Here is a 26077-nt window from a genome sequence, read left to right on the forward strand (position 1 = left end):
GCTGGCACATGCCTGTAATTCCATTACTTTGGAAGGCTGAGATGGGAGGATCACGTGAGCCCAGGAGTTTGAGACCAGCCTGGGCAACATACTGAGACCTCATCACTATAAAAATAAAAAAAAATTAGTTGGGCATGGTAGCACACCTGTAGTCCAGTTACTCTGGAGGTTGAGGTGGGTGGATGGCTTGAGCCTGGAAGGTTCAGGCTATAGTGAACTATGATTGCCCCACTGCACTCCAGCCTGGGTGACAGCAATACCATGTCTCAAAAAATAGAGGTTGAGAAAGTGCTGTAGATAGTAGCAGATACTCACCAACCTCCAGCTCCATCCTGTATCCTGGAACGTAGTGAAATTAGTAGGACTGCAATTTTCCTAGCATCCTTTTTCACTTTTCCAGAGCATTTAGATTTGTAGCTATTTGAAAGATTGGAATTAGTAATTTAGAGCTGTTGTTAAAAATGTAAGTCACATTTCAGTGTTTAGCTAAATAAGAATAAACAAATAGTAACCCTTACATGATAGTATTTCAAGGCTCAGCCTTCATCATAGTTTTCTATCTTCTAGACTTAATTTGAAAATTATAAGAAATTTAGAGAACACTAAAGAAAAAAGAACAGATTTAATAATAGGGTTGAAATAACAGGATTTGTGGGAATAAAAAAGTATACTTACATAGATTATAGTACACGGGGTGAGAATAAAAGAAATGGACTGAAATTACAGCATAAAAGGTTTGGTTAGATATGATGAATAGCTTCCCAGTAATGACTTAAGATAAGTACTGGTATGGAGGTATGGGCTGTTGAAGAGAGCTTGGGCTGGGGCAGCCCTACAGAAACCCTTTGTCATACCTTGCTGTTGTTTTTCACAGTTTGAATTTGAATGCCGGGCTCGTGGCGCAGACATTTTAGCCTATCCACCTGTGGTGGCTGGTGGTAATCGGTCAAACACTTTGCACTATGTGAAAAATAATCAACTCATCAAGGTACGTGAGATGCCCTCAGTGCTACTCCCACTAGGTCCAGATAGCCTAGTAGAAAACCTGCTAACCTCATGTCCTCTCACCTTCAGCTTTCACAAATTAGCTGACATTTTAAAAGTATTTTATTGCTTATAAAATGGTTTTACAGACATTATCTCATTTTGTCCTTAAATTAACTCTGTTAGGAGGAATTATTAACATGCCTCTTTAATAGATGAGGAAAACGAATTTCAAAAAATAAAACAACATAGGCCAGGCATGGTAGCTCAGGCCTGTAATCCTAGCACTTTGAGAGGCCAAGGCGGGTGAATCGCTTGAGGTCAGGGGTTCGAGACCAGCCTGGCCAACATGGTGAAACCATGTCTCTACTAAAAATACAAAAATTAGCCAGGCGTGGTGGCACGTGCTTGTAATCCCAGCTACTCTGGAGGCTGAGGCAGGAGAATTGCTTGAGCCCGGGAGGCATAAGTTGTAGTGAGCCGAGATCACACAACCGCACTCCAGTGCTCCAGCCTGGGCTATGGAGCAAGACTCTGTCTCTAAATAAATAAATAAATAAATAAATATTTAAATATTTAAATATTTAAAAACCTAAAACAACATATTAGTGCAGAGCCAAGTATTCTACTCTAAAGCCTCTGCTCATTTCATTATAACTCTACTTCTCTGAGGACTTGCGGCAACAACAGTGAGCCAAGCAGATTTCCTGGGCAGAAAGATTTTAAGAAATTGCTGTTAGCTGTGAGGGAACATATCTTCTATGATTTTCTTCCCATGTGACTATACAAGGAAGGAATTGTGTATTCCTTTATTAAGTCCATTTCTTTACTGATTTAGTATTCAGTAAATCCAAAAGAAAAAAATATAGCAAACATGTAAATTATACAGCATAATTAAAAAAAAAAACAAAAATAAAAACGAATACCCATGAACCAAGCAGTCGATTTTAGAGCTAGAACAGTAGCAATACAACACACCTACCCTTATGCTGTCCCATCCCACTTCCTCCCTCCCAAAGGTAACTGGTAACCTGAATTTTGTCTTTCCCTTGACTTTTAAGAAATAGTTGTATTACATATATGTGACTCCCCAAACAGTATTAATTAGCTACTGCTTGTTTATAAACTCTATACAAATTGTATGCTCTGTATGTAGTTTGGAGGGATTTTTTTTAACTCCTAAATATCATAGGCTGGGTGAGGTGGCTCAAATCTGTAATCCCAGCACTTGGGGAGGTCAAGGTGGGCAGATCCCTTGAATGCAGGAGTTCAAGACTGGCCTGGGCAACATAGCAAAACCCTATCTCTACAAAAAAATACAAAAATGAACCAGGCGTGATGGTACATGCCTCTAGTCCATTACTTGGGAGGCTAAGGTGGGAAGGATCATCTGAGCCTGGGGAGTTCAAGGTTGCAGTGAGCTGTGATCACACCACTGCATTGCAGCCTGGGCAACAGAGCAAGACCCTGTCTTTAAAAAAAATAAAATATAGGCCAGGCACAGTGGCTCACACCTGTAATCCCAGCACTTTGGGAGGCCGAGGTGGGTGAATCATGAGGTCAGGAGTTCGAGACCATCCTGGTCAACATGGTGAAACCCCGTCTCTACTAAAAATACAAAAAAAAATTAGCTGGGTGTGGTGGCGTGTGCCTGTAATCCCAGCTACTCAGGAGGCTGAGGCAGGAAAATCACTTGAACCAGGGAGTCGGAGGTTGCAATGAGCCGAGATCGCGCCACTGTACTCCAGCCTGGTGACAGAGCGAGACTCCGTCTCAAAAAATAAATAACAAATAAAAATATATATGATAATATAAACCTTTCCTGACTATTTGTATCTGTTTATACTTCACTAGCAGTGTGCAATTCTGTCAGCCACATCCTCTCCATCCCCTGGTATTATCAGACCTCTTAATTTCTGCATTCTACTTGGTACAACATAGCATCTCTTTGTGCTCTTAATTTTTATTACCTTAATTACCAATGAAATTGAGCATCATTTCTTATCTTTAGCACTATTCATTTCAACTTAATAATACTTAGTTTAGGATATTCAGATCTGTGTTCACGAGTGAGTTTGGTCTATATAATTTCTTTCTTATGCTGTCTTTTTCTGGTTTTCATATCAAGGTCAAACTAAGCTCAGAAAAATTAATAGTCTCATTCTTAGTATTATGGAATGACTTGAATTAATGTTTCTTGAAAATTTGGTAAACACGTGTAGAACTCTTTGGGCCTGATATTTTCCTTCGTGCACTTTTAAACTCCTCATTCAGTATCTCTCCTATATTGAGGCATTTTCTTTCTTCTTGCTTTTTTTTTTTTTTCAGATGGAGTTTCACTCTTGTCACCCAAACTGGAGTGCAGTAGTACAGTCTCGGCTCACTGCAACCTCCCTCTACCTCCCAGGTTCAAGCGATTCTCCTTCCTCAGCCTCCTGAGTAGGTGGGATTACAGGCGCCCACCATGCCTGGCTATTTTTGTATTTTTAGTAGAAACGAGGTTTCACCATGTTGGCCAGGCTGGTCTCAAACTCCTGGCCTCAAGTGATCTGCCCGCCTTGGCCTCCCAAAGCGCTGGGATTACAGGCATGAGCCACCATGCCCGTCCTATTGTAATTCCTATAGTATAGAGCAGCAGTTAGTGTGGTTCATGAAGTTAAATATATTGTCATAAGAACACAGACATTCTCTTACTAGTGTACACTGGAGTATCCCAGAAGTTTTATGATGATAACACAAAAGACTGAATGCACAGGCAGTGTGAGATTCCAGCTGTCTTCTGTGACACTAGACAAAAGAATTTAGAAAATGCAAACAGTGCCAATTTTCTATTTATATTTAGAAAAATAGTTTTTTTCATAAAAATGTTATTTATGTTAACATGTAATGGGTTTATTTTTAAATGAATTTAATAAATATTATAAAATTTTCTCAGTTTTAATTTCTTAGTGTGATAAATATTCATAGATAGACATTTATGATTTTTCCAGATTCTCACTTTGATCATTCTTGTGCATTTTTCCTGGTATACAAGTTGCCAAGTTTGTCTAAGGGACACCTAATAATGGAATTGCTGGGTCATAGGATATACATATCTGCAACTGTGATAGTACCAAAGATTTCCAAAGAGATTATGTCAATTTATACTTCTACTCTTCCTAAGACAGTTTCATAAGTTATATGTTTCTACCATTTTGTCCATTTTGTCTAAATTACTCACAGTATTGTCTTACATTTTAAGCTACTTTTTATTTATAGTTATGTACCCTTTTATATTCTTGATATATTTTTGCCTTTTCTCCTTACTGTAGTAAATCTCATTAGATGGTTTCTTTAAAAAGTAAACATACAGGGCCAGGCATCCCAGTGTCTCATGCCTGTAATCCCAGCACTTTGGGAGGCTGAGGCAGGTGGATCACTTGAAGCCAGGGAGTTCAAGACCATCCTGGCCAACATGGTGAAACCCCATCTCTACTAAAAATACAAAAATTAGCTGGGCGTTGTAGCGTGCGCCTGTAGTCCCAGCTACTCAGGAGGCTGAGGCGGGAGAATCGCTGGAACCCAGGAGGCAGAGATTGCAGTGAGCCAAGGTTGCGCCACTGCACTCCAGCTCTGGGCAATAGAGCAAGACTCCATCTCAAAAAAAAAGTCAACATGTCATAAAATACATTTTATCCAGGATTTAGTTGTTTACTAACAGAAATTTATTCCATCTTTTGCCAAAAATGAAAAATCACATCCATCATTTTAAGTTGCCATTACTGTATGTTATCATTTACCCATTATTCTACTGTTTGTCAAATTTTGTACTTACTTAGATATGAATAACATATACTCTGTCTTCAAGGGCATAGAGAGATAATTTCAGCATAACATGACAATTAGAAAGTTAGAGATATACTTAAAGTTTTCTTCTTTCCCCACATGTATTATGATGGAGAGCAAAAGGGGAAGTGGGGCCTGGCGCGGTGGCTCATGCCTGTAATTCCAGCACTTTGGGAGGCCGAGGCAGGCGGATTATGAGATCAAGAGATCGAGACCATCCTGGCCAACATAGTTAGCCAGGTGTGGTGGCGGGCACCTGTAATCCCAGCTACTTGAGAGGCTGAGGCAGGAGAATCACTTGAACCTAGGAGGTGGAGGTTGCAGTGAGCTGAGATCACACCACTGCACTCCAGCCTGGGCAACAGAGCAAGACTCTGTCTCAAAAAAAAAAAAAAAAAGAGGGAAGTGATATTCCAAGGTTAAGTGTTTAAGGGTGGCTGTGTTTGAATAAGGCCCGGCATACCACTGGCATGCCAACGTATATAGGATTGTTTTTTTCTCTTGTTTCATAAAGCAAAGGCATATGGGTTTTTTTTTCTTAAAAAAAAATGATAATAGTGATATTTATGATGTGCTAATGTTTACACCTAGTAATTCAGTCCCAAGGAGTCTGGTTCCAAAGCCTATACACTGAAACACCACGCATTGCCAACTTTCTTGTGGCAGGGTGAATTCATCTGAAAAGATTTGTTTTGTTTTCACATGCCCCCTGTTTCAAACATCTGAAAAGTTTAGATGCTGTGTAGATAAATAGAAGAAACCAGCAATTAGTGTCCTTTAAATTAGAGCTTTAAAAAAATAAAAAGGACCAAGTGCAGTGGCTCACGCCTGTAATCCCCGCACTTTGGGAGGCCGAGGCAGGCAGATCACCTGAGGTTGGGAGTTTGAGACATCCTGACCAACATGGAGAAACCCCGTCCCTACTAAAAATACAAAATTAGCCAGGTGTGGTGGCAATCACCTGTAATCCCAGCTACTCGGAGGCTGAGGCAGGAGAATCGCTTGAACGCGGGAAGCGGAGGTTGTGGTGAGCTGAGATCACACCATTGCACTCCAACCTGGGCAACAAGAGTGAAACTCCGTCTCAGAAAAAAAAAAAAAAAAGAAAGGCATACTTTGGATTACTAGAAACAACTTATAATCATGAGCTTATCCACTTTAACCTGTCTTACTTTGTTCCAGGATGGGGAAATGGTGCTTCTGGATGGAGGTTGTGAGTCTTCCTGCTATGTGAGTGACATCACACGTACGTGGCCAGTCAATGGCAGGTAGGGCTTCTACAGAGTAACGTATCCCACTGCTTCTTAGGAGTATGAGTTGGAATATGGCTATATTTGGAATGAATGACTAAAGAAATACTATAGGTCCATTCCTGGTCAAGTTAGGTTGCAAAGCTCCTTATTATTTTCTAAGACTGTTTTGTTCATCATATCACTGGATGAGGCACATAGAAACACCTAGGTAACTAACAAAGATTTTTTTTTTTTTTTTTTTTTTTTTTTTTTTGGTAAGAGACGGGGTCTCGCTGTGTCATCCAGGCTGGGGTGCAGTGGCTATTCACAGGCCAAATCATAGCTCACTGCAGCCTCGAACTCTGTCCTGAAGTGATCCTCTCTTCTCAGACCTCTTAAGTAGCTGGGACTATAGGCACATTGCCACCATGCCTGACTCACAGACATTTTTTAAAAAATAAAGTTGATTTTTTAAAATACAGAAGTAATATTCAGGTTATGGTAGAAAGCTTGATTGGATTAATCCTCCATAGATAATAATTATAAAATCTGGACAAAATATTAAAAATAACTATTTAAAGGCACTAGAGATCCCTTTGTAGCTCATGAGTGTGATGATTGGGTGTTCACGTGCAGGTATGAGATGTGCTACCCTCAAACCTTCTTACAAGGTCAGCACATTACCCATCTGACATGAAAAAAATCAAAATAAAAGGCACCAGAGAGCTTTCAAAAATAGGCAGAAATTGTACAAGTCCATTCTTTTTTTTTTTTTTTTTTTGAGACGGAGTCTCGCTCTGGCACCCAGGCTGGAGTGCAGTGGCATGATCTCGGCTCACTGCTAGCTCCACCTCCCAGGTTCACATCATTCTCCTGCTTCAGCCTCCCGAGTAGCGGGACTACAGGCACCCACCACCACGCCTGGCTAATTTTTTGTATTTTTCGTAGAGATGGGATTTCACCGTGTTAGCCAAGTACAAGTCCATTCTTAAAAAACTATAATGGGCCAGGCCTGGTGGCTCATACCTGTAATCCCAGGACTTTGGGAGCCCAAGGCAGGCAGAGCACCTGAGGTCAGGAGTTCAGGACCAGCCTGACCAAAATGGTGAAACCCTGTCTCTACTAAAAATACAAAAATTAGCCTGGGAATGGTACTCGGGAGGCTAAGGCAGGAGAATCGCTTGAACCCAGGGGACGGAAGTTGCAGTGAGCTAAGATTGGACTCTGCACTCCAGCCTGGGTGACAGAGTGAGACTCTATCTGAAAAAAAAAAAAAAGAAAAACTATAATGGATAAAAATGGTGATAAGGGCTTTTTGCCTGAGGACATTGCCCAATGCACATAGCTTGGGCGGCAGAAAGCCACAGCCTTATTGATTTAAGATATCAAATGATAGATTTAGGTGCTGACAGAATAGCCAGAAAGATGAAGGAAAATCCTTGACGAGAAGGGCTTGTGGAAACTCTGAGCCCCAAAATCTGCATACAGAATATTTAAAAATCCTTGGCTGATTACTGAACTATGTGTTCTGAGGAGGCCTCATGAGGCTCAGCAAAATACGAGCAGCTAGAAGCAGAATAAACTGAGCAGAGATTTTAGTTGCTTCCCAGTGAGAACAGAGTTTGTAGTTTGAAGCTATCCAAGTTAACAAAATTTCTAGACATGAGAAGAAACTGGTAATTGTGACCTGTAATCAAGAAAATCTGATAATGAAATAATCCTGGCCAGGTGCAGTGGCTCATGCCTGTAATTCTAGCACTTTGGGGGGCCGAGGTGGGCAGATTACTTGAAGTCAGGAGTTCAAGACCAGCCTGGCCAAAATGTGAAACCCTGTCTCTACTAAAAATACAAAAATTAGCTGAGTGTGGTGGCGGGCACCTGTAATCCCAGCTACTCGGGAGGCTGAGGCAGGAATATCGCTTGAACCGGGAAAGGGGAGGTTGCAGTGAGCCGAGATTGTACCACTGCACTCCAGCTTGGGCGACAGAGTGAGACTCCATCTCAAACAAAGGAAAAAAAAAAAGAAAGAAATGATCCTAATGTTCCAATTAGCAGAAAGACTCTAAAGTAGCTGTTATAGATAAGTTAAAGGAAGATGTAGACATAATGAGCAAACAGATGGAGAATCTCAATGAGAAATAGAAACAAAAAAGAACCAGAGATTGTGGGAAGATGGCAGCAGCAGGATAGTTTTTCAAACTTTCCAAATTGTCAAATAAACATAGAGCAACTAGCTAACAAAACCAAACACTAGGTAGTATTTGTTACCTCAAAATAATTACCTCCTAATTCACAAACATTCAGTCTGTAACTGCCCAAAATCTAGACTGATAAACTCTGTATGTCAAGCAGCCTGGATTCTTTAACAAATAAATTACAAGGAAATGAAAAGAGGTGGAGGAGGAGCCTACTAACTAAAAGAGATTTTAGTTATATCAAATATATTACAAATGAACACAAAGAAAATTATCTTGGGGTGAATATTTGGGTGATAAAAATATCTTTAAAACACAAAGGACAGCCAGGCGAGGTGCCTCATGTAATCCCAGCACACTGGGAGGAAAGACAGGAGGATCACTTGAGCTCAGGAGTTCAAGACCAACATGGGCAGCATAGTGAAACCTGGTCTTTACAAAAAAATTAGCCAGGCGTGGTGGCACATGCCTGTAGTCCCAGCTACTCAAGAGGCTGAGGTGGGAGAATTGCTTGAGCCCAGGAGACAGAGGTTGCAGTGAGCCAAGATTGCACCATTGCAATCCAGCCTGGGTGACAGAGCCAGACCCTGTCGCAAAAAAAAAGAAAAAGAAAAAAACCCCACAATGACCAAGCATAGTGGCATGCACCTATAGTCTCAGCTACTCAGGAGGCTGAGGCAGGAGGATCACTTGAGTCCAAGAGTTCTAAGCTGCAGTCCACTATGTTGATCAGGTGTCTGCAACCAGTTAGAGGTTTTTGCACATTACCTAAGGAGGGCTGAACTGGCCCAGGTCAGAAACAGAGCAGGTCACAACTCTCATACTGATCAGTAATGGGAACAAGCTTGTGAATAGCCAGTACACACCAGCCTGGGCAACAGAGCAAGACCCCATCTGTAAAAAAAGGAAACAATTTAATTAAAATTTTTAAAAAACACAAGGAATAGGGAGTGACTGCTAACAGATACAAGATTTGGGAGGAGATGGTAATGAAAATTTTCTAGAATTAGTAGTGGTGATGATTGTACAACATTGTGAATATACTTAAAACCACTGAATTGTACACTTTTTTAAGTGAAGGAATTTTATGATAAGTGAATTATATATCAATAAAAATGATAAATTCGGTCAGGCATTATGGTTCATCCTGTAATCCCAGCACTTTGGGAGGCCAAGGCGAGCAGATGACTTGAGCCCAGGAGTTCCAGACCAGCCTGGGCAACATGGCAAAACCCAATCTCTACAAAAAAACATTAAAAGTGCTTCCTTCAGCAGCACATATACTAAAATTGGAACAATACAGAAATTAGCATGGCCCCTGTGCAAGGATGACATGCAAATTTGTGAAGCATTCCATATATAATCATGAAAGAAAAAAATAGCTGGATATGGTGTCACAGGCCTGTAGTCCCAGCTACTAGAGAGACTAAAGTGGGAGGATCACCTGAGCCCAGGAAGTTGAGGCTGCAGTGAGCTGTGACTGCACTACTACACTCCAGCCTAGGCAGCAGAGTGAGACTCTGTCTAAAAAAAAAAAAAAAAAAAATCTGTAAATAACAGTACACACAAATAAAAAAAATCACAATTAACTGACTATAAACTGATATGGCTAGCATGGTGGCTCACACTGGTAATCCCAGTGTTTTGGGAGGCTGACGCAGGAGGATCAGTTGAGGCCAGGAGTTCAAAACCAGTCTGGGCAACACAGCAAGACCTCTATATCTACAAAAAATACAAAAAATTGGCCAACTATGGTGGCGCACACCTGTAATCCCAGCTACTTAGGATGCTGAGGTGGCAAAATCACTTGACCCCTGAAATTTTTGGTTACGGTGAACTATGATCACATCACTGTGCTCTAGCCTAGGTAACAGAGCAAGGCCCTGTCTCCAAAATAAAAAAGTTAGGCCAGGTGCAGTGGCTCACGCCTGTAATCCCAGCACTTTGGGAGGCCAAGGCAGGTGGATCACCTGAGGTCAGGAGTTTGAGACCAGCCTAGCCAACATGGTGAAACCCTGTCTCTACTAAAAACACACACACACACACAGAAATCAGCTGGGCATGGTGGTGGGTGCCTGCAGTCCCAGCTACTCAGGTGGCTGAGGTAGGAGAATCACTTGAACCCGGGAGGTGGAGGTCGCAGTGAGCCGAGATCACACCACTGTACTCCAGCCTGGGCAACAGAACGAGACTCCATCTCAAAAAAAAAAGTTAGGACGAGGGATATTTGTTGGTAAGATTGTCATTATTCTGGGACCTATAGAAGGGTATTCTGGGATAGTCTGCCAAGTTTTGGTGGGTTTTTTTTTTGTTGTTGTTGTTGTTTTATCTGACTGGTATTCACCTTATAATAATTTTTTTTTCTTTTTTTTTTTTTGAGACACAGTCTTGCTCTGTCGCCCAGGCTGGAGTGCAGTGGCGCAATCTTGGCTCACTGCAACCTCCGGCTCCCAGGTTCAAGCAGTTCTCCTGCCTCAGCCTCCCAAGTAGCTGGGACTACAGGCAGATGCCACCCCGCCTGGCTAATTTTTGTATTTTTAATACAGCCACTGAATAATTTCTTAAGGTTTATGTTTGATTGATTTGTTTGGCTTTTTATATCTGTGTTTTGTTTTACAATTAAAAATTTTTTAAATTTTTAAATGACAATTTTAAAGCTGAAAAGTACATTAACTGAAACAGGAAATTCACCAGGTAGACTTAACTGTAGATTGGAGACAGCAGAAGTTTGCAAACTTGAAGATAAATAGAAATTATCCAGCTGGAAGAATAGAAGTACATTGTAAAAAGGCCAGGTGCAGTGGCTCACACCTGTAATCCCAGCACTTTGGGAGGCCAAGGCGAGTGGATCACTTGAGGTCATGAGTTCGAGACCAGTCTAACCAACATGGTGAAACCCCGTCCATACTAAAATAACAAAAATTAGCTGGGTGTGGTGGCAGGTGCCTGTAATCTCAGCTACTTGGTTGGCTGAGGCAGAGAGCGATCCTCACATCTCAACCTCCCAAGTAGCTGGGATTATAGGCACGTGCCACCATGCCTGGCTAATATTTTGTTTTTTTGTAGAGACACGGTTTCGCTATGTTGCCCAGGCTGGTCTGCAACTCCTGGGCTCAAACGATTCTCTTGCCTTGGCCTGCCAAAACACTGGAATTACAGGCATGAGCCACTATGCCCAGCCAAATTCTAGGTATTTAAGAGAAATGAAAACATTTCTCAACAAAAAGGGTTGCACAAGGACATTCATAACAGCATTTATTCACAATAGTATAACAACCAAAATGTCCATCAACAGGAGAATGAATATGCAAATTGTGGTCTGTTCATACAATGGAATACCACTCAGTAATAAAAAAGAACATTTTAATTACTGATCGAATGTTTTTTGTTACTGATTGAAGCACCACCATGGATGTACTGCATAGACAACCTTCTACCCTCACTGAGCATAGATTATGTTCAGTGAAGGAAGCCAGACACAAAAGAGTATATATTATATGATTCCATTTATATGATGTTCTAGATTTGGCAAACTAAGGTCAAAATAATCACAATAGCATTTGCCTCGGAAAGTAGGGATATTGATTAGAAATGGACATGTGGGCCAGGCGTGGTGACTCATGCCTGTAATCCTAGGACTTTGGGAGGCCAAGGTAGGTGGATCACCTGAGGTCAGGAGTTCAAGACCAGCCTGGCCAACATGGCAGAAACCCATCTCTACTCAAAATACAAAAATTAGCTGGGCGTGGTGGTGGGCGCCTATAATCCCAGCTACTTGGGAGGCCGAGGCAGGAGAATCGCTTGAACCCGGTGGGGGCAGAGGTTGCAGTGAGCCGAGATCGCACCACTTCACTCCAGCCTGGGTGAAAGAGCGAAACTCCATCTCAAAAAAAGAAAAAAAGAAATGAACATGAGGAGGCTTTCAGGGGAGATGGAAATGGTCTGTATAAGGCTTGAGTCCAAAATCTATAGGGCAGACTTCAGTCCAAACTCAGGCAGGGTTTATATTATAGTCTTGAGGCAGAATTCCTTCTCCAGTATACCAAAGCAGTTGTGGCATTTGTGTTTATGTATTGTGGGTTACCTTTTGGTTTGTGTTTCAGCCAGCTAGGCAACAAACTGTTAGAACTTTTCTGACCCCTTCAGCGGCAACGTTGAATCCAGAGTCTCTGATTAGTGGACCCATATCAGTAAAGTTGCCTGATGCAACTGTGTTCCTTCTACCATTATCCCACACCATAAATATTCATTCCCACCCACATTCCCAGATTTTTGTCTTTCGGAAATTGGAAACCTCATGCAGTTCTTTTTTTGTTTTGTTTTTTTGAGACGGAGTTTCACTCTTGTTGCCCAGGCTGGAGTGCAATGGCGCAATCTCGGCTCACCACAACCTTCGCCTCCCAGTTTCAAGCGATTCTTCTGCCTCAGCCTCCCGAGTAGCTGGAATTACAGACATGCACCACCATGCCCAGCTGATTTTGTATTTTTAGTAGAGATGGGATTTCTCCATGTTGGTCAGGCTGGTCTCGAACTCCCGACCTCAGGTGATCCACCCGCCTCGGCCTCCCAAAGTGTTGGGATTACAGGCGTGAGCCACCGCGCCCAGCCCCTCATGCAGTTCTTTTTGGTGTGGAGTGGACCTCCTCATGGGTCAAGCTTTCTGCCTAACTTGGAGCCTGCTGGGACTTGAGTGTAGTTACAATTCTAGTAGAACCAAGGCAACTGCCTCAAGGGACATACCTACAAGTTTTCAGGCAAAACAGGGTTAACCTTCTCAGACGGGGGTGGAAGGGCCACTTCTGCTGGCAACGAAGACTCAGCAGAATTTAGGAGTTCATTGTTCCCAGCTTCAATAGGTTTGGTACATGAATTTGTCAAAATTGTACCGTTCAAATGTATGCATTTTAGTGTATATAAAGACACTTTGGGAGGCCAAGGCAGGAGGATCGTTTGAGCTGAAGAGTTCCAGACCAACCTGGGCAACATAGTGAGACCTTGTCTCTAAAAAAAAAAAAAAAAAAAACTATTACAAAAATGATTATTTAGTAATACTGTGGTGGGCTGGGGTATGGGTACATTATGCTGTGGGTTTCTTATGCTATTATAGTTAAGCATTCTTCTATTAGGGGACATTTAGAGTTTGTCTAATAATTTACAATTATAAAATTACAGCGAACATTTTAGTACATTCAGCTTTTTTGAATTTCAAATATTTTCTTTGGATATATTAGAGTAGAATTATAAGCTCTAGTTATATGAGCATCTTTAAGGCCTTTGATGTAATTGGCTGTATTAATTTATACTCCTATCAACAGTATGTGAGAATACATATCATGTATCATCCCAGGTCACTTTTTTATCTCGTAATTGCTAAAGAAACTGTTATTCTAAAGACACTTAAGTGCTAGTACATTACTAGTAGCCCAGATGTTGACTAGTTTATCCCATGGTATCTGCTTCACCTGTCAGAAGTGGGTCCCTAGGCTTTCTTGCCTTTTTTTTTAATGGTAGTCTATGCTGTAAGGGATTAAACAGGATCATGGCTGAGCCTCATCTGCCCACTGACTGCACTCATGGCTCAGTGCTTCTTTTGGCCCTACTTCATGTCTCTCCTGACCATTTGAAGAAGAGACTGTGTTGCTGCTCCAGCTTGAAGGATTGTTGCCCTTCCTACTGAGCACCTAGGACATGATTGAGCTCCTGGCCATATTGATAGATTGGTACTTATTAAACATCAACAGTGCCCCAGCAACAGCAGCATCTTGGGGTTTTTCTAATCAAACTTAGTAGCAAACTTCTTAGAATATCAGATTATCTAAGTTCAGGTTCTTTGGTTTTCCCGTCCCCAGGTTCACCGCACCTCAGGCAGAACTCTATGAAGCCGTTCTAGAGATCCAAAGAGATTGTTTGGCCCTCTGCTTCCCTGGGACAAGCTTGGAGAACATCTACAGCATGATGCTGACCCTGATAGGACAGAAGCTTAAAGACTTGGGGATCATGAAGAACATTAAGGAAAATAATGCCTTCAAGGTACTTCACTTCTCTTGACCCCAGTTCTCAAGAACACCTAGCATGCTGCTAGGTTTTTACCCTATATAAAGCTAATTAGACTTAGAAATGGGACAGATGTAGTGATTCATGCCTGTAATCCCAGTAGTTTAGGAGGCTGAGGCAGGAGGATTGCTTGAAGCCAGCCTGGGCAACATAGCAAGACCCATCTATATACATGTAGATATATACACACACACACACACACACACACATATATATATACACACACATACGTAGATATATATACATACACACACAGGGTTTTTTAAGTAAAAAGAAAAGATTTAGAAATCATCTTTGTGATCTATAAAAGGGATTTAGCTTTAACATGGATTAAAACAAAGGAAGTCAGTACTTATTTCTTCCAGAAGATGGCAGCACATGCTGATTCATTACATGCTGCATAACTAGCTCAGTATTCAGAAAACTTAAAATGAAGTCTGGTGCCGACAGGGTGAAAAAGGAAACAAGAAATGAGGAGAAGCCTGGGAAACATAGCAAGACCCTATCTCTACAAAAAATTTAAAAGTTAGCCAGGTGTGGTGGCACACACCTCTAGTCTCAGCTACTTGGGAGGTTGAGGTGGGAGGATCACTTGACCCCAGAAGTTCAACGCTGCAGTGAGCTATGTTCGCACCACTGCACTCCAACCCGGGCCACAGAACAAGGCCCTGTGTCTAAAAAAAAAAAAAAGAGAGAGAGATTAACTTTTAATCCTTTTATGGGTTATTCTGTAGGTCAAAGGAGAAGGTATTTGTTGTTTAAGTGACATTTTTGACACTTCAGCAATATTCCCAAAGACCATGTCATTAGTGAATTTTTTTTCTGCATCCAAAATGTGATGGTGTTCAGTAAAAACGTAAAACCTCAGCTTTAAAATTAAGATACTAGATGCCTAAGTCAGATAGACCATTAGGCATCTCCTACCTACAAGTTAAGCCTTCTAGGACTTCTGTTATCAGTAAAAATGAAGCTATAAATTGGCTGTTGCTTGGGCCAACAAATCTTTAACTAACTGACGGAAATATCCAAGCTGGCTGGGCACAGTGGCTCACACCTGTAATCCCAGCACTTTAGGAGGCTGAGGCAGGCGGATCACATGAGGTCAGGAGTTCGAGACCAACCTGGCCAACATGGTAAAACCCTGTCTCTACTAAAAATACAAAAATTAGCCAGGCATGGTGGTACATGACTATAATCCCGGCTATTTGGGAGGCTGAGGTGGGAGAATAGCTTGAACCCAGGAGACAGAGTTTGCAGTGAGCCAAGATCACACCACTGCACTCCAGCCTGGGCAGCAGAGCAAGACTCCATCTCAAAAAAAAAGAAAGAAATACCCAAGCTGGTAGGTGCCCAAAAGTGTGCCTTCTCCACAAGTTGCTGTGAGCTATTTAGGGTCTCCAGAGTAGATTCCTGAGAGGGATGTGTGAACGAACATTGGAAAGAGAACTGTGATAATAGTCATCCTCTCTTTCCCAAGAAAAGAGATTTTTTTTTCTTTCTTTTATTTTTATCTTTCCTGTGGTACTGAAGAAAAGAGACTTTCATTTGCCACAGTCATTAGTTGGAATTACTCAAGTCTGCATGTATGTAGTATATTAAATAGCGGGAATGGAAATGTGGATTGATGAGAATGCCATTGGCAGAATTGCATGTAAGAGGTCGCAGTTTTTCAGGTGCCTTTAAGTATTAGCCCAAGGAGGGATTAAACTGAAGTGGCAGAACCATGGGGGAGATAATAACACATATCTCACTGATTTATACTTGCCCAGCATTCCCTGTAAGAGGTCATTGCTCTAATGATACTGTGACAATTATCTTTTCCAGGCTGCTCGAAAATACTGTCCTCATCATGTTGGCCACTACCTCGGGATGGATGTCCATGACACTCCAGACATGCCCCGTTCCCTCCCTCTGCAGCCTGGGATGGTAATCACAATTGAGCCCGGTAAGGAGAGGTGTTACAATAGTAGTATGAGGTAAATGTTTGTTTGTTTGTTTGTTTTTGAGATGGAGTTTTGCTCTTTCGCCCAGGCTGGAGTGAAGTGGTGTGATCTTCACTCACTGCAACCTCCGCCCCCCAGGTTCAGCAATTCTCCTGCCTCAACCTCCTGAGTATCTGGGATTACAGGTGTCGGCCACCACGCCTGGCTAATTTTTATATTTTTAGTAGAGACGGGGTTTCGCCATGTTGGCCAGGCTGGTCTCGAACTCCTGACCTCAGGTGATCCACCTATCTCAGTCTCCCAAAGTGCTAGGATTATACGTGAGCTACCGCGCCCAGCCACATTGTTTATTTTTACCTCAACCAATGTAATTAAGTTAGAAGAGACAGGAAAAAAAGTCCAGTGTGGAAGGTAATTTTATTTTCGATTTATCTTTTGTATTCTTATTTAATATCACACAATTTGTTCAGTTTGACTCCTCCAATAAACAACAGATGGGGAATACTTCCTATAAGTAGATATTAAGAAATGAATCTTTTTTAATCCTGCCTTTCCCAGGGCCAGTTTGTACTGGTCTCCCATTTAGTAGTGGGGGGCTGCTCAAGCTTCCAAAGCCCCCGGTGCTTGTGTGCAGAGAGACAGGCAGACACACTATGCTCTCAGTTTCAACACCTCTGCAAGCTGCATTGAGCTACCCAGCACCATCCCACTCCTTAGTATCCATCGCCTTCCTCATAAGCTTCAGAGAAAGCTAACAATCGGATACGTTACCTAACTTGAATGGTCCTGGGTGTTGGGCAGGATTCTGAAGAGAAGCAGTGACCACAATGGTGTGTGAAGATTGATGTTGTCAGAGTTGATGGTTAAATACTGATGCTGGTTTTGTTTTGAAAACAGATCTAAATTTTAGATTTCAAGTATTTTAATCTCTGTATAAATTATGGCTGTGAAATGTCTTTTATGCCACCCTTTGAACCTAGTCATACATTGCTATCTGTGGCCATAGATATATCATTTAGTTCAATCTGTTTGGTACATGGGCGCTTCCTTAGACTGCGCTACATTTTCCTTTGCTGATCTTTCTTTTTCAATCGCAGAGCAGTATCTGTGAGGATAGTGGAGGAAGTTTACAACTTGTTTAATATAAAAAGCCCTGGTATGTGTCTAACTTCATGATTAGAAAGGGTACCTGGGGTTCCTACATTTTTCCAAATGTACATTAAAGTCTTTCAGTTTCTCTTGTATTTTATATTACACACATCAGATATATTTAAATCTTATAATGACTGTCTCTGCAGCTTCCAGTTGTCAAGGCTAATAATCTCTAAATGTTTCTTTGAATACAGTTTAAATATATTTTGTCTTTATTTTTGCAAGGTGCTCTTTTTCCAAGGGACTCTTAGGCAGGGGAAGAATGCACTTACATAATCTGCTTGTCCCCCACATATATTGACGTACTTTTAAATTAAGTAACTTTATTGGCCTGCTTGAGCCACTAGAATATGACAGAATCATGATCAGCATTGCCGTAGTTGTATTTAGCTTGTAGTCCAATATAAAGATAACCACAATAATAATTTTAGTAATGATACCAACATGTGTTGACCATTATATGCCAGCCACTTTGACATGTATTATCTCATTTAATCCTCACAGCTTTACTAGGTAGGTACCATAAAGATCCAGTATTACAGAGGAAGGAATTTTAACCCAGAGGTTAACTTACTTGCCCCAAACCACCCAGTTACTATCATTCCTGAACAGCATGTTCTTCTTTCTACTTCACAGGCATTTATATTCCAGAGGATGACAAAGATGCCCCAGAGAAGTTTCGGGGTCTTGGTGTACGAATTGAGGATGATGTAGTGGTGACTCAGGACTCACCTCTCATCCTTTCTGCAGACTGTCCCAAAGAGATGAATGACATTGAACAGATATGCAGCCAGGCTTCTTGACCTTCACTGCGGCCCACATGCACCTCAGGTTCAAAATGGGTGTCTTCTGGCAGCCCTGCACGTGTGCTTTCTGAGTGTCTCTGTGTGTGCATTAATATATGCATTCCATTTGGGAGCATAGCAGCTGTGTGAATGTATGTAATTGTGTGTGGGGGGTTTTTTGTTTTAAGTAGTTAGAAGTCTGGGAAAATGAATTTTTGAATAGTATGTTACTGCAGCTTTGGTAACATTAATTCTATAGAATTAATGATCAGAGCAAGTTTAATTTTTAAACATAAAGGTCTTGGTTACACATGTCCATGCATTCCAGTTAACACATTTAAACATATAGAAAATTCACTTCTTCTTTCAAGTCCTTCCCTTTCTATACTTTTGCTGAGATCAACCCAATATCATAAGAAGTTTGTGTGATGCCTGTATTTTTAGCTAATTACCAAGGTCTCTGCCTATGCAAAAATTCATCTTTCGGTGATTGTGGGCGGCCAATACATACCTTCTGTAACTCCTCCCTACCTATTCTAGATCCTGCATATCTACTGGAGCCATATGAGCCCTCAGGGGCACTGGTGTCCTGCAGTCTTACTAGTCAGCCACAGTCCAGGTTCCAGCAACACTAGCTACCTACCAAACAAAACACTTCTGAGCTTTTCTTGCCATTTGGTTGCCTGGGACCTGGAAAGTGTTTAGATTCTTGATAAAGATGGAAATGGAAGAGAAAGAAAATTATATATGTATATACTAAAGATCCAGACATCAGGGCTGGGCACAGCGGTTCCGCCTGTAATCCCAGCACTTTGGGAGGTCCAGGCAGGTGGATCTCTTGAGACCAGGAGGTCAAGACCAGCCTGGCCAACGTGGTGAAACACTGTCTCTACTAAAAATACAAAAATGAGCTGGGTGTGATGATACATGCCTGTAATCCTGGCTACTTGGGAGGCTGAGGCATGAGAATTGCTTGAACCTGGGAGGTGGAGGTTGCAGTGAGCTGAGCTCATGCGACTGCACTCCAGCCTGGGTGACTGAGCAAGACTCTGCCTCAAAAAAACAAATAAATAAATAAAATCCTGACATCCTGCCATCTTTTCTCTTCAATTTAAAGTTGATTTCTTAATGATGACTTCAAAAATTAATAAAAAGAAAAGAAAAAAATGATTTCTGGCCGGGCGTGGTGGCTCAAGCCTGTAATCCCAGCACTTTGGGAGGCCGAGGTGGGCGGATCACGAGGTCAGGAGATTGAGACCTCCTGGCTAACACGGTGAAACCCCGTCTTTACTAAAAATACAAAAAAAATTAGCTGGGCGTGGTGGCGGATGCCTGTAGTCCCAGCTACTCAGGAGGCTGAGGCAGGAGAATGGCGTGAACCCAGAAGGCAGAGCTTGCAGTGAGCCAAGATCGCGCCACTGCACTCCAGCCTGGGTGACAGAGCGAGACTCCGTCTCAAAAAAAAAAAAAAAAAAGAAAAAAAAAAGAAAGATTTCTTTCGCAGATATCCCTGCTCCCTCTATAGATTCTTAATGCACTGACCCTCACAGGTTACCCTTTTAGCTGTTGTGCTGCGCAGGAGCAGATCCTCTACTTACGTACCCTGTCAGAGTCACAGTAGTAGCGCCCAGTTTTCAGAGAAGTACCCCTGTTATCATTCTGTGATTTCCTCTAGTGCTAATAGAAACAAAATATGGAATCTACCAAGTACCCGTAAATATCCTATGATTCTTATCTTTCTTTGATACTAGCACTGGGAGTGCAGTGGTAAAGAGTCATACTTCTTTTTTTTTTTTTTTTTTGGAGACAGAGTCTCGCTCTGTCGCCTGGGCTGGATGGAGTGCAGTGGCGTAATCTCAGCTCACTACAACCTCCACCACCTGGGTTCAGGCAATTCTCCTGCCTCAGCCTCCCAAGTAACTGGGACTACAGGTGCACGCTGCCATGCCCAGCTAATTTTTTGTATTTTAGTAGAGACAGGGTTTCACCCTGTTGCCCAGGCCGGTCTCAAACTCCTGAGCTCCGGCAATCCGCCCACCTCAGCCTCCCAAAGTGCTAGGATTACAGGCATGAGCCACTGCGCCCGGTGTAAGAGTCATATTTTTTTAAACACAAACATTGGATACAATTATACAGCAACTCAGTTTGCAAGATGAACAGGGCTAGATTACCACAGATAGCTTATTTAGGAGCGTCTGTGATAGAGGGAAGCTTTAAGAACCAGTGTGTTCACCTCCTTTAAACCTGGATATGAGGTCAAGATGTATAAAACATGCCAATTGTTAGAACACAAATTTGAGGGTTTCTTAAAAAAACAATTTGTATTAGGGAAGCACAAGCTAGGGGATTAACAATCTCTGTAATGCTGGAAGTTTGCCTATCTTATCAGGGAAACCCAGGGTACAGAGTGAAAAGCAGACAGGCAGTGACTTCCTCAAGAGACAGATAATGTGAAAACAAAAGTGATACAAATCATATCCTGACAGTGCTAGCCTAGGAATGCCTGGCTTTGCGCACCTTATCTAAGCAGCTCTCAGAATGGAGGCTGCACAGCTGGAGTCTCCATCCCCCATACCCACCTTCCCACCTCCCTCCAATTTCTCAATCCAGAGCTTTTTAAAAAAAGGGGAGGGAAATAACTCCACAGCTCTGGCTGCTCACTTCCCAGGCTCTGTGCCCCCAACAGCCCTTTCCTTGGATTGTGTTTCCTTTGTTCATTTGTAATCCAGGAATAAGGAATTTCCTTTTCTTCTTGTATCATTTTCTTTTCTTTTCTTTTTTTTTTTTTTTTTGAGACGGAGTCTCACACTGTCACCGGGGCTGGTGTGCAATAGCGAGACCTCAGCTCCCTGCAACCTCCATCTCCCAGGTTCAAGCGATTCTCCTGCCTCAGCCTCCCGAATAGCTAGGAATACAGGCGCCTGCCACCACACCCGGCTATTTTTTTGTATTTTAAATAGAGACGAGGTTTCACTGTGTTGGCCAGGCTGGTCTCGAACTCCTGACCTCATGATCTGCCCGCCTCGGCCTCCCTAAGTGCTGCGATTACAGACGTGAGCCACCGCACCTCCTGTATCATTTTCTATGGTCTAAACTTTTCTAGCTAAAAGCCTAGGTAGCTTGTATGTATAGCAGCATACTTGGACATGAAACACACTTCTGGTTAGATTCCAGTCAAGTTCTATAGGTGTTATTGGTAGGCAGAAAGGCTGTTGTAGAATTCTTCTGGTGATTTTCAGTCCCTGACCCAGGTATATTGTCCTTTGAGTCCCAGATTAACTAACTATAGCAGCTAAGCATTTGAATCAGACTTCTCATAGCAATGTTATGGGCTGTCTGATATATTCAGGATTTGTTGAGCAGATAAGCTGTGTGTGATCTTACTCATTCTCAGCCATGCCGCAGACATACCCATTTCCCTTTAGTAATTTTTTAATACAGAGAATGCTATTAACTGTTACTGGATATCAAATAATTTTATTTTTCTAATAGTATTTTCCAAATATTTCTTAAAATTCTTAAAATTTAGGTTAAAGTTTGCTGGTCTCTTACATTTAATAAAGCTGGGACTTGAAGACTTACCATAGTTTTCAACTGCCTTTGCAAGTTCATAAACTTCTAAGGGTAAAAAGTGAATAAGATAAATTCAGAGTTTTAAGGTAAAGGCTTTATATTAGCTTTTTTTTTTTTTAAAGGTTTTTTGTGGGGTTTTTTTGTTTTTTTTTTTTTTGAGATGGAGTCTCGCTCTGTCACCCAGGCTGGAGTGCAGTGGCACGATCTTGGCTCACTGCAACCTCCATCTCCCGGGTTCAGGCAATTCTTCTGCCTCAGCCTCCTGAGTAGCTGGGACTACAGGCGCGTGCCACCATGCCCGGCTAGTTTATTGTATTTTTAGTAGAGATGGGGTTTTACTGTGTTAGCCAGGATGGTCTCAATCTCCTGACCTCATAATCTGCCCACCTCAGCCTCCCAAAGTGCTGGGATTACAGGCGTGAGCCACTGCACCCAGCCTTTTTAAAGTTTTTAATTGACATATAATTGTACGTATTTACAGGGTAAATAATGATGTTTTGATACATATATAATGATCAGATCAGAACAATTAGCATATCCATCACATTGAACATTTATCATTTATTTGTGTTGAGCCTTTAGTTCTTTTTTTTTTTTGAGATAGAGTCTCACTCTGTCACCCAGGCTGGAGTACAGTGGTGTGATCTTGGCTCACTGCAACCTCCACCCACCGGCTTCAACCAATTCTCCTGCCTCAGCCTCCCTAGTAACTGGGATTACAGGCACCTGCCACCACACCCAATTTTTGTATTTTTAGTAGAGACGGGGTTTCACCATCTTGGCCAGGCCAGGCTGGTCTTGATCTCCTGACCTTGTGATCCACCCACCTCAGCTTCCCAAACTGCTGGGATTACAGGCATGAGCCACGGCCCCCAGCCAGAGACAGTCTTGCTTTGTCGCCAGGCTGGAGTGTAGTGGCGCCATCTTGGCTCACTGCAACCTCCAACTCCCTGGTTCAAGCAGTTCTCCTGCCTCAGCCTCCCAAGTAGCTGGGATTACAGGCACGCACCACCATGCCCAGCTAATTTTTGTATTTTTAGTAGAGACAGGGTTTCACCATGTTGGCCAGGATGGTCTTGATCTCCTGACCTCGTGATCTGCCCACTTTGGCCTCCCAAAGTGCTGGGATTACAGGTGTGAGCCACCGTGCCCAGCCGAGCCTTTAGTTCTAAGTATAATAAATAATATATATACCAGGCATTCCTATTAAAAATCTTAACTTAAAAAAAATTACTCAAATGTTACTACTGGAATTTTTCTCCCTGAATTGAAGATACATGGTTAGATCATTAACAATACCACCTAAATGAAGGAAACATATCTGGATATCCAGTGTCACATACTTTTATGTATTTATTTCAGGAATTACTATTTTGTCACCATAATTAGGAAACAGACTGTGTTCTTTATTTGAAACACAACAGTATAAATACTATAGTAAAGTTGGGTGCAGTGGATCACAGCTATAATCCCAGCACTTTGGGAGACCAAGGAGGGATGGTCACTTGAGCCCAGGAGTTTGAGACCAGCCTAGGCAACATAGAGAGACCTTGTCTCAACAAAAAAATTTAAAGTTAGCCAGGTGTGGTGGTTTGCACCTATAGTCCCAGCTACTCAGGAGGCTGAGGTGGGAGGATCGCTTGAGCTTAGGAGGTCAAGGCTGCAGTGAGCCATGATTGTGCCACTTCACCCTGGGCAACAGAGAAAGACCCTGTCTCAATAAAAAAGAAGAGAAAAACTGGAGTGAGAACTCTCCTCCTCTCATAATCATAGTATCCACGTTAGGAAAATGCTTCTGAGAGTAACTTAAAGTACTGTGTGTGCATCTTCCTTCAAAACCTTGCTTTTTTCTCCGTTTTTGTAAGGTGAGAAAGGGAAAAACCTTCACCGTAGAAATACTGTCTTGAGATTAAGATACAAATAAAACATGTTAAACCTCCATCTAAAGACATTGCAACTTATTAAAACAGAAAAATGTACCTTTGTTATGTCTTTCCAAATATCCACACCCACACCCTGTTCAGCTTTGTTAATAATACAGAGATCAGAAATGTGAAGCACAAATGCTGCTTCTCCCCCTCCTGTTCCCATGTCAGAGATGGAGAAGAAAGCACAGTGAGCTGTTCACCAGTCCAGCGGTGACCTCGGAGTCCTTTGTAACAGTGTTTCCAATAACTTCTGCCAATAAAACAGAATTTGAGTTAGAACCTATCTGCTGTCCCTCAACTAGTGTCTGATAGCTGAGAATGTAATTCGTTTGTGTGTCTATTAGAAAATTAGGCAGGCACCACAGACAGTAGCAACATAAAGGAACCTGCTTAGAAGAGGTTTTTATGGTGTGATTGTGTTTTTTTTTTTTTAATTTTTGTTTCCTGAAGTAGAATCCATAGCTCAAAACAAGTTTTAAGCCTGAGAAAATATAATTTGAGGTGTTTTTTATGCTCCTAATGAAAAGATGAATGAATGCATCATTAAACCTTAACAGTAGAGCAGAATTTCACTGTTACAAACCACATGGGTTCTCCTGGTTGTGCTGCTGTTCTCTACCTGTGTGTCACTGAGTTTGAGCATCATTATTGTTTGAATCAGAGGACCCACTGGAATCAAGGCTTCTTGGAATTGCGCAAGAATCTGAGAAAACTTCAATCTTTACCAGCATTTCTTAATGCTTTCCATGACTTTTGTGCAATTATATAAGTTCAGTTTAGACAAAATGCTGTTACTTTTTAAGGCATTACTAATAACTGAAAATAGTTACGTCATTGCCCATCAAGGGAAAAGCACTTGTAACTGTCATTTAAAAAAAATAAAACTATAAAACAATATAGAGGGGTATGGTGTGTGTGTGTTACTTTAGAATCTAGAGTTTACGGTCTATTTAGTATAAACAGTATAAACGTGAGACCATCTGGTTTTACAAAATAATTTACAAAGTATTCATTAGCTGCTGTCACAAAATCATGATAGCAAACTTGAAATGATTTTATCAGTCTTATAGAGGAAGAATCTGGTGGATTTGATCCAGCCTATTAAAAGGTTGGCACAAAACTGACTGAAAGGTCTCCAGAAAGTCCCCATAACACTCAAGACTGTAAACTGTAGCCATGCACATTTTATGAAGGATGAATTTTGTGGGGAAATAGGATCAAGTTGCAAAATTATGAATATTTGACCTTTGTCAACCATATAATGAATCGTAAGTGTAGCCATCTCTCTCTCCCTGTTAGGAACCATCTTTAAAATCTGAGACTGTCTATGAGGAGTACCTTTAACATTTCTCACGTTCTGGCAGGCACAAAAAGATACTTTGTATGGCACAATGGAACAAATTTGAGGGGGCTGAGTGGTAAGTACATATGACTTGTAGAAAAAAAATTATTATACATCCTTTAACTATGATAAGAAAAATATGTACAGTGAGCCACCATGGCTGACCAACAAACATGAAATTTCTTATAATGGGAATGGATTTCTAATCCAGTTGAAATATTTTATATCAAATATTTCAAAATAAGCTATAATTTGCAGCATATACATGTATTGTTAGAACAGTCACCCTGCTCACAGACTCCACTAAGAAGTACTTCATCCACAAAAGTCGTAAGTATCCAGCATATGTAAAGCAGAGATCTGGGCTGTCTGAGGCTGCATCTGGAAGCAGCCCTGGCCCAGTCTTGAGCCCCCATGACACCTATGGCTAGCAGCCCTTACACATCTGAAACACCAACCACTCTAGCTAAATTCCATGACATCCTTGTCTTTCATGTGACACTGTGCTCAACAGCTGCCACTGAAGTAGATGACCAAATGGTAACACCTCTCCTTCTCCATATTTCAGTGAGCTCTTGAAAAATAATTCTACATCTTATGACCCTAATTTAAATACCCTAATTGAAATATCATTTAGGGTATTTAAATTAGGGTCATAAGATCTAGAATTATACTGGTAAGAATTACTCTGGACATAAAAATTTGTGTGACTGGTCAGATGTGGTGGCTCATGCATGTAATCCTAGCACTTTTGGAGGCTGAGGTGGGAGGATCACTGGAGGCCAGAAGTTCAAGACCAACCTGGGCAACATAGCTAGATCCCCATCTCTACAAAAAAATTATATTAGGTGTGATGGTGCATGCATGTAGCCCCAGCTACTTAGGAGGTTGAGGTGGGAGGATCACTTGAGCCCAGGAGTCCAAGGCCCAAAGCTGCAACAAGCCATTATCATACCACTACACTTGAGTGACAAGGGCAAGACCCTGTCTCTAAAAAAAAAGTATCTGTCACTATGTAATATTGATCTAGATTTCCACCAGTTTTTAAACCCCATTGGTTCTGA

The 26077-nt window shown here is 41.6% G+C and overlaps 1 protein-coding gene, 1 non-coding gene and 1 pseudogene across 2 annotated transcripts in view; all 3 read left to right on the forward strand.

The window, feature by feature from the left end:
* XPNPEP3 (X-prolyl aminopeptidase 3) overlaps positions 1–24568 on the forward strand; it is a 75668-nt gene extending 51100 nt beyond the window's left edge. The window contains exons 6-10 of the mRNA NM_022098.4: positions 875–988; positions 5992–6077; positions 14086–14266; positions 16115–16235; positions 18022–24568. Of these exons, the coding sequence (NP_071381.1) occupies positions 875–988; positions 5992–6077; positions 14086–14266; positions 16115–16235; positions 18022–18188 (669 nt within the window). The 3' untranslated portion in view covers positions 18189–24568. The remainder of the gene's footprint in view (positions 1–874; positions 989–5991; positions 6078–14085; positions 14267–16114; positions 16236–18021) is intronic.
* LOC124905157 (small nucleolar RNA U13) lies at positions 6632–6735 on the forward strand. The gene has a single exon (XR_007068164.1). It is a non-coding gene; the product is annotated as a small nucleolar RNA U13 (small nucleolar RNA).
* On the forward strand, positions 9496–9599 carry RNU6-379P (RNA, U6 small nuclear 379, pseudogene; annotated as a pseudogene).

This window comes from Homo sapiens, chromosome 22, assembly GCF_000001405.40.
Source record: "Homo sapiens chromosome 22, GRCh38.p14 Primary Assembly".
In the NCBI taxonomy this organism is placed as follows: Eukaryota; Metazoa; Chordata; class Mammalia; order Primates; family Hominidae; genus Homo; species Homo sapiens.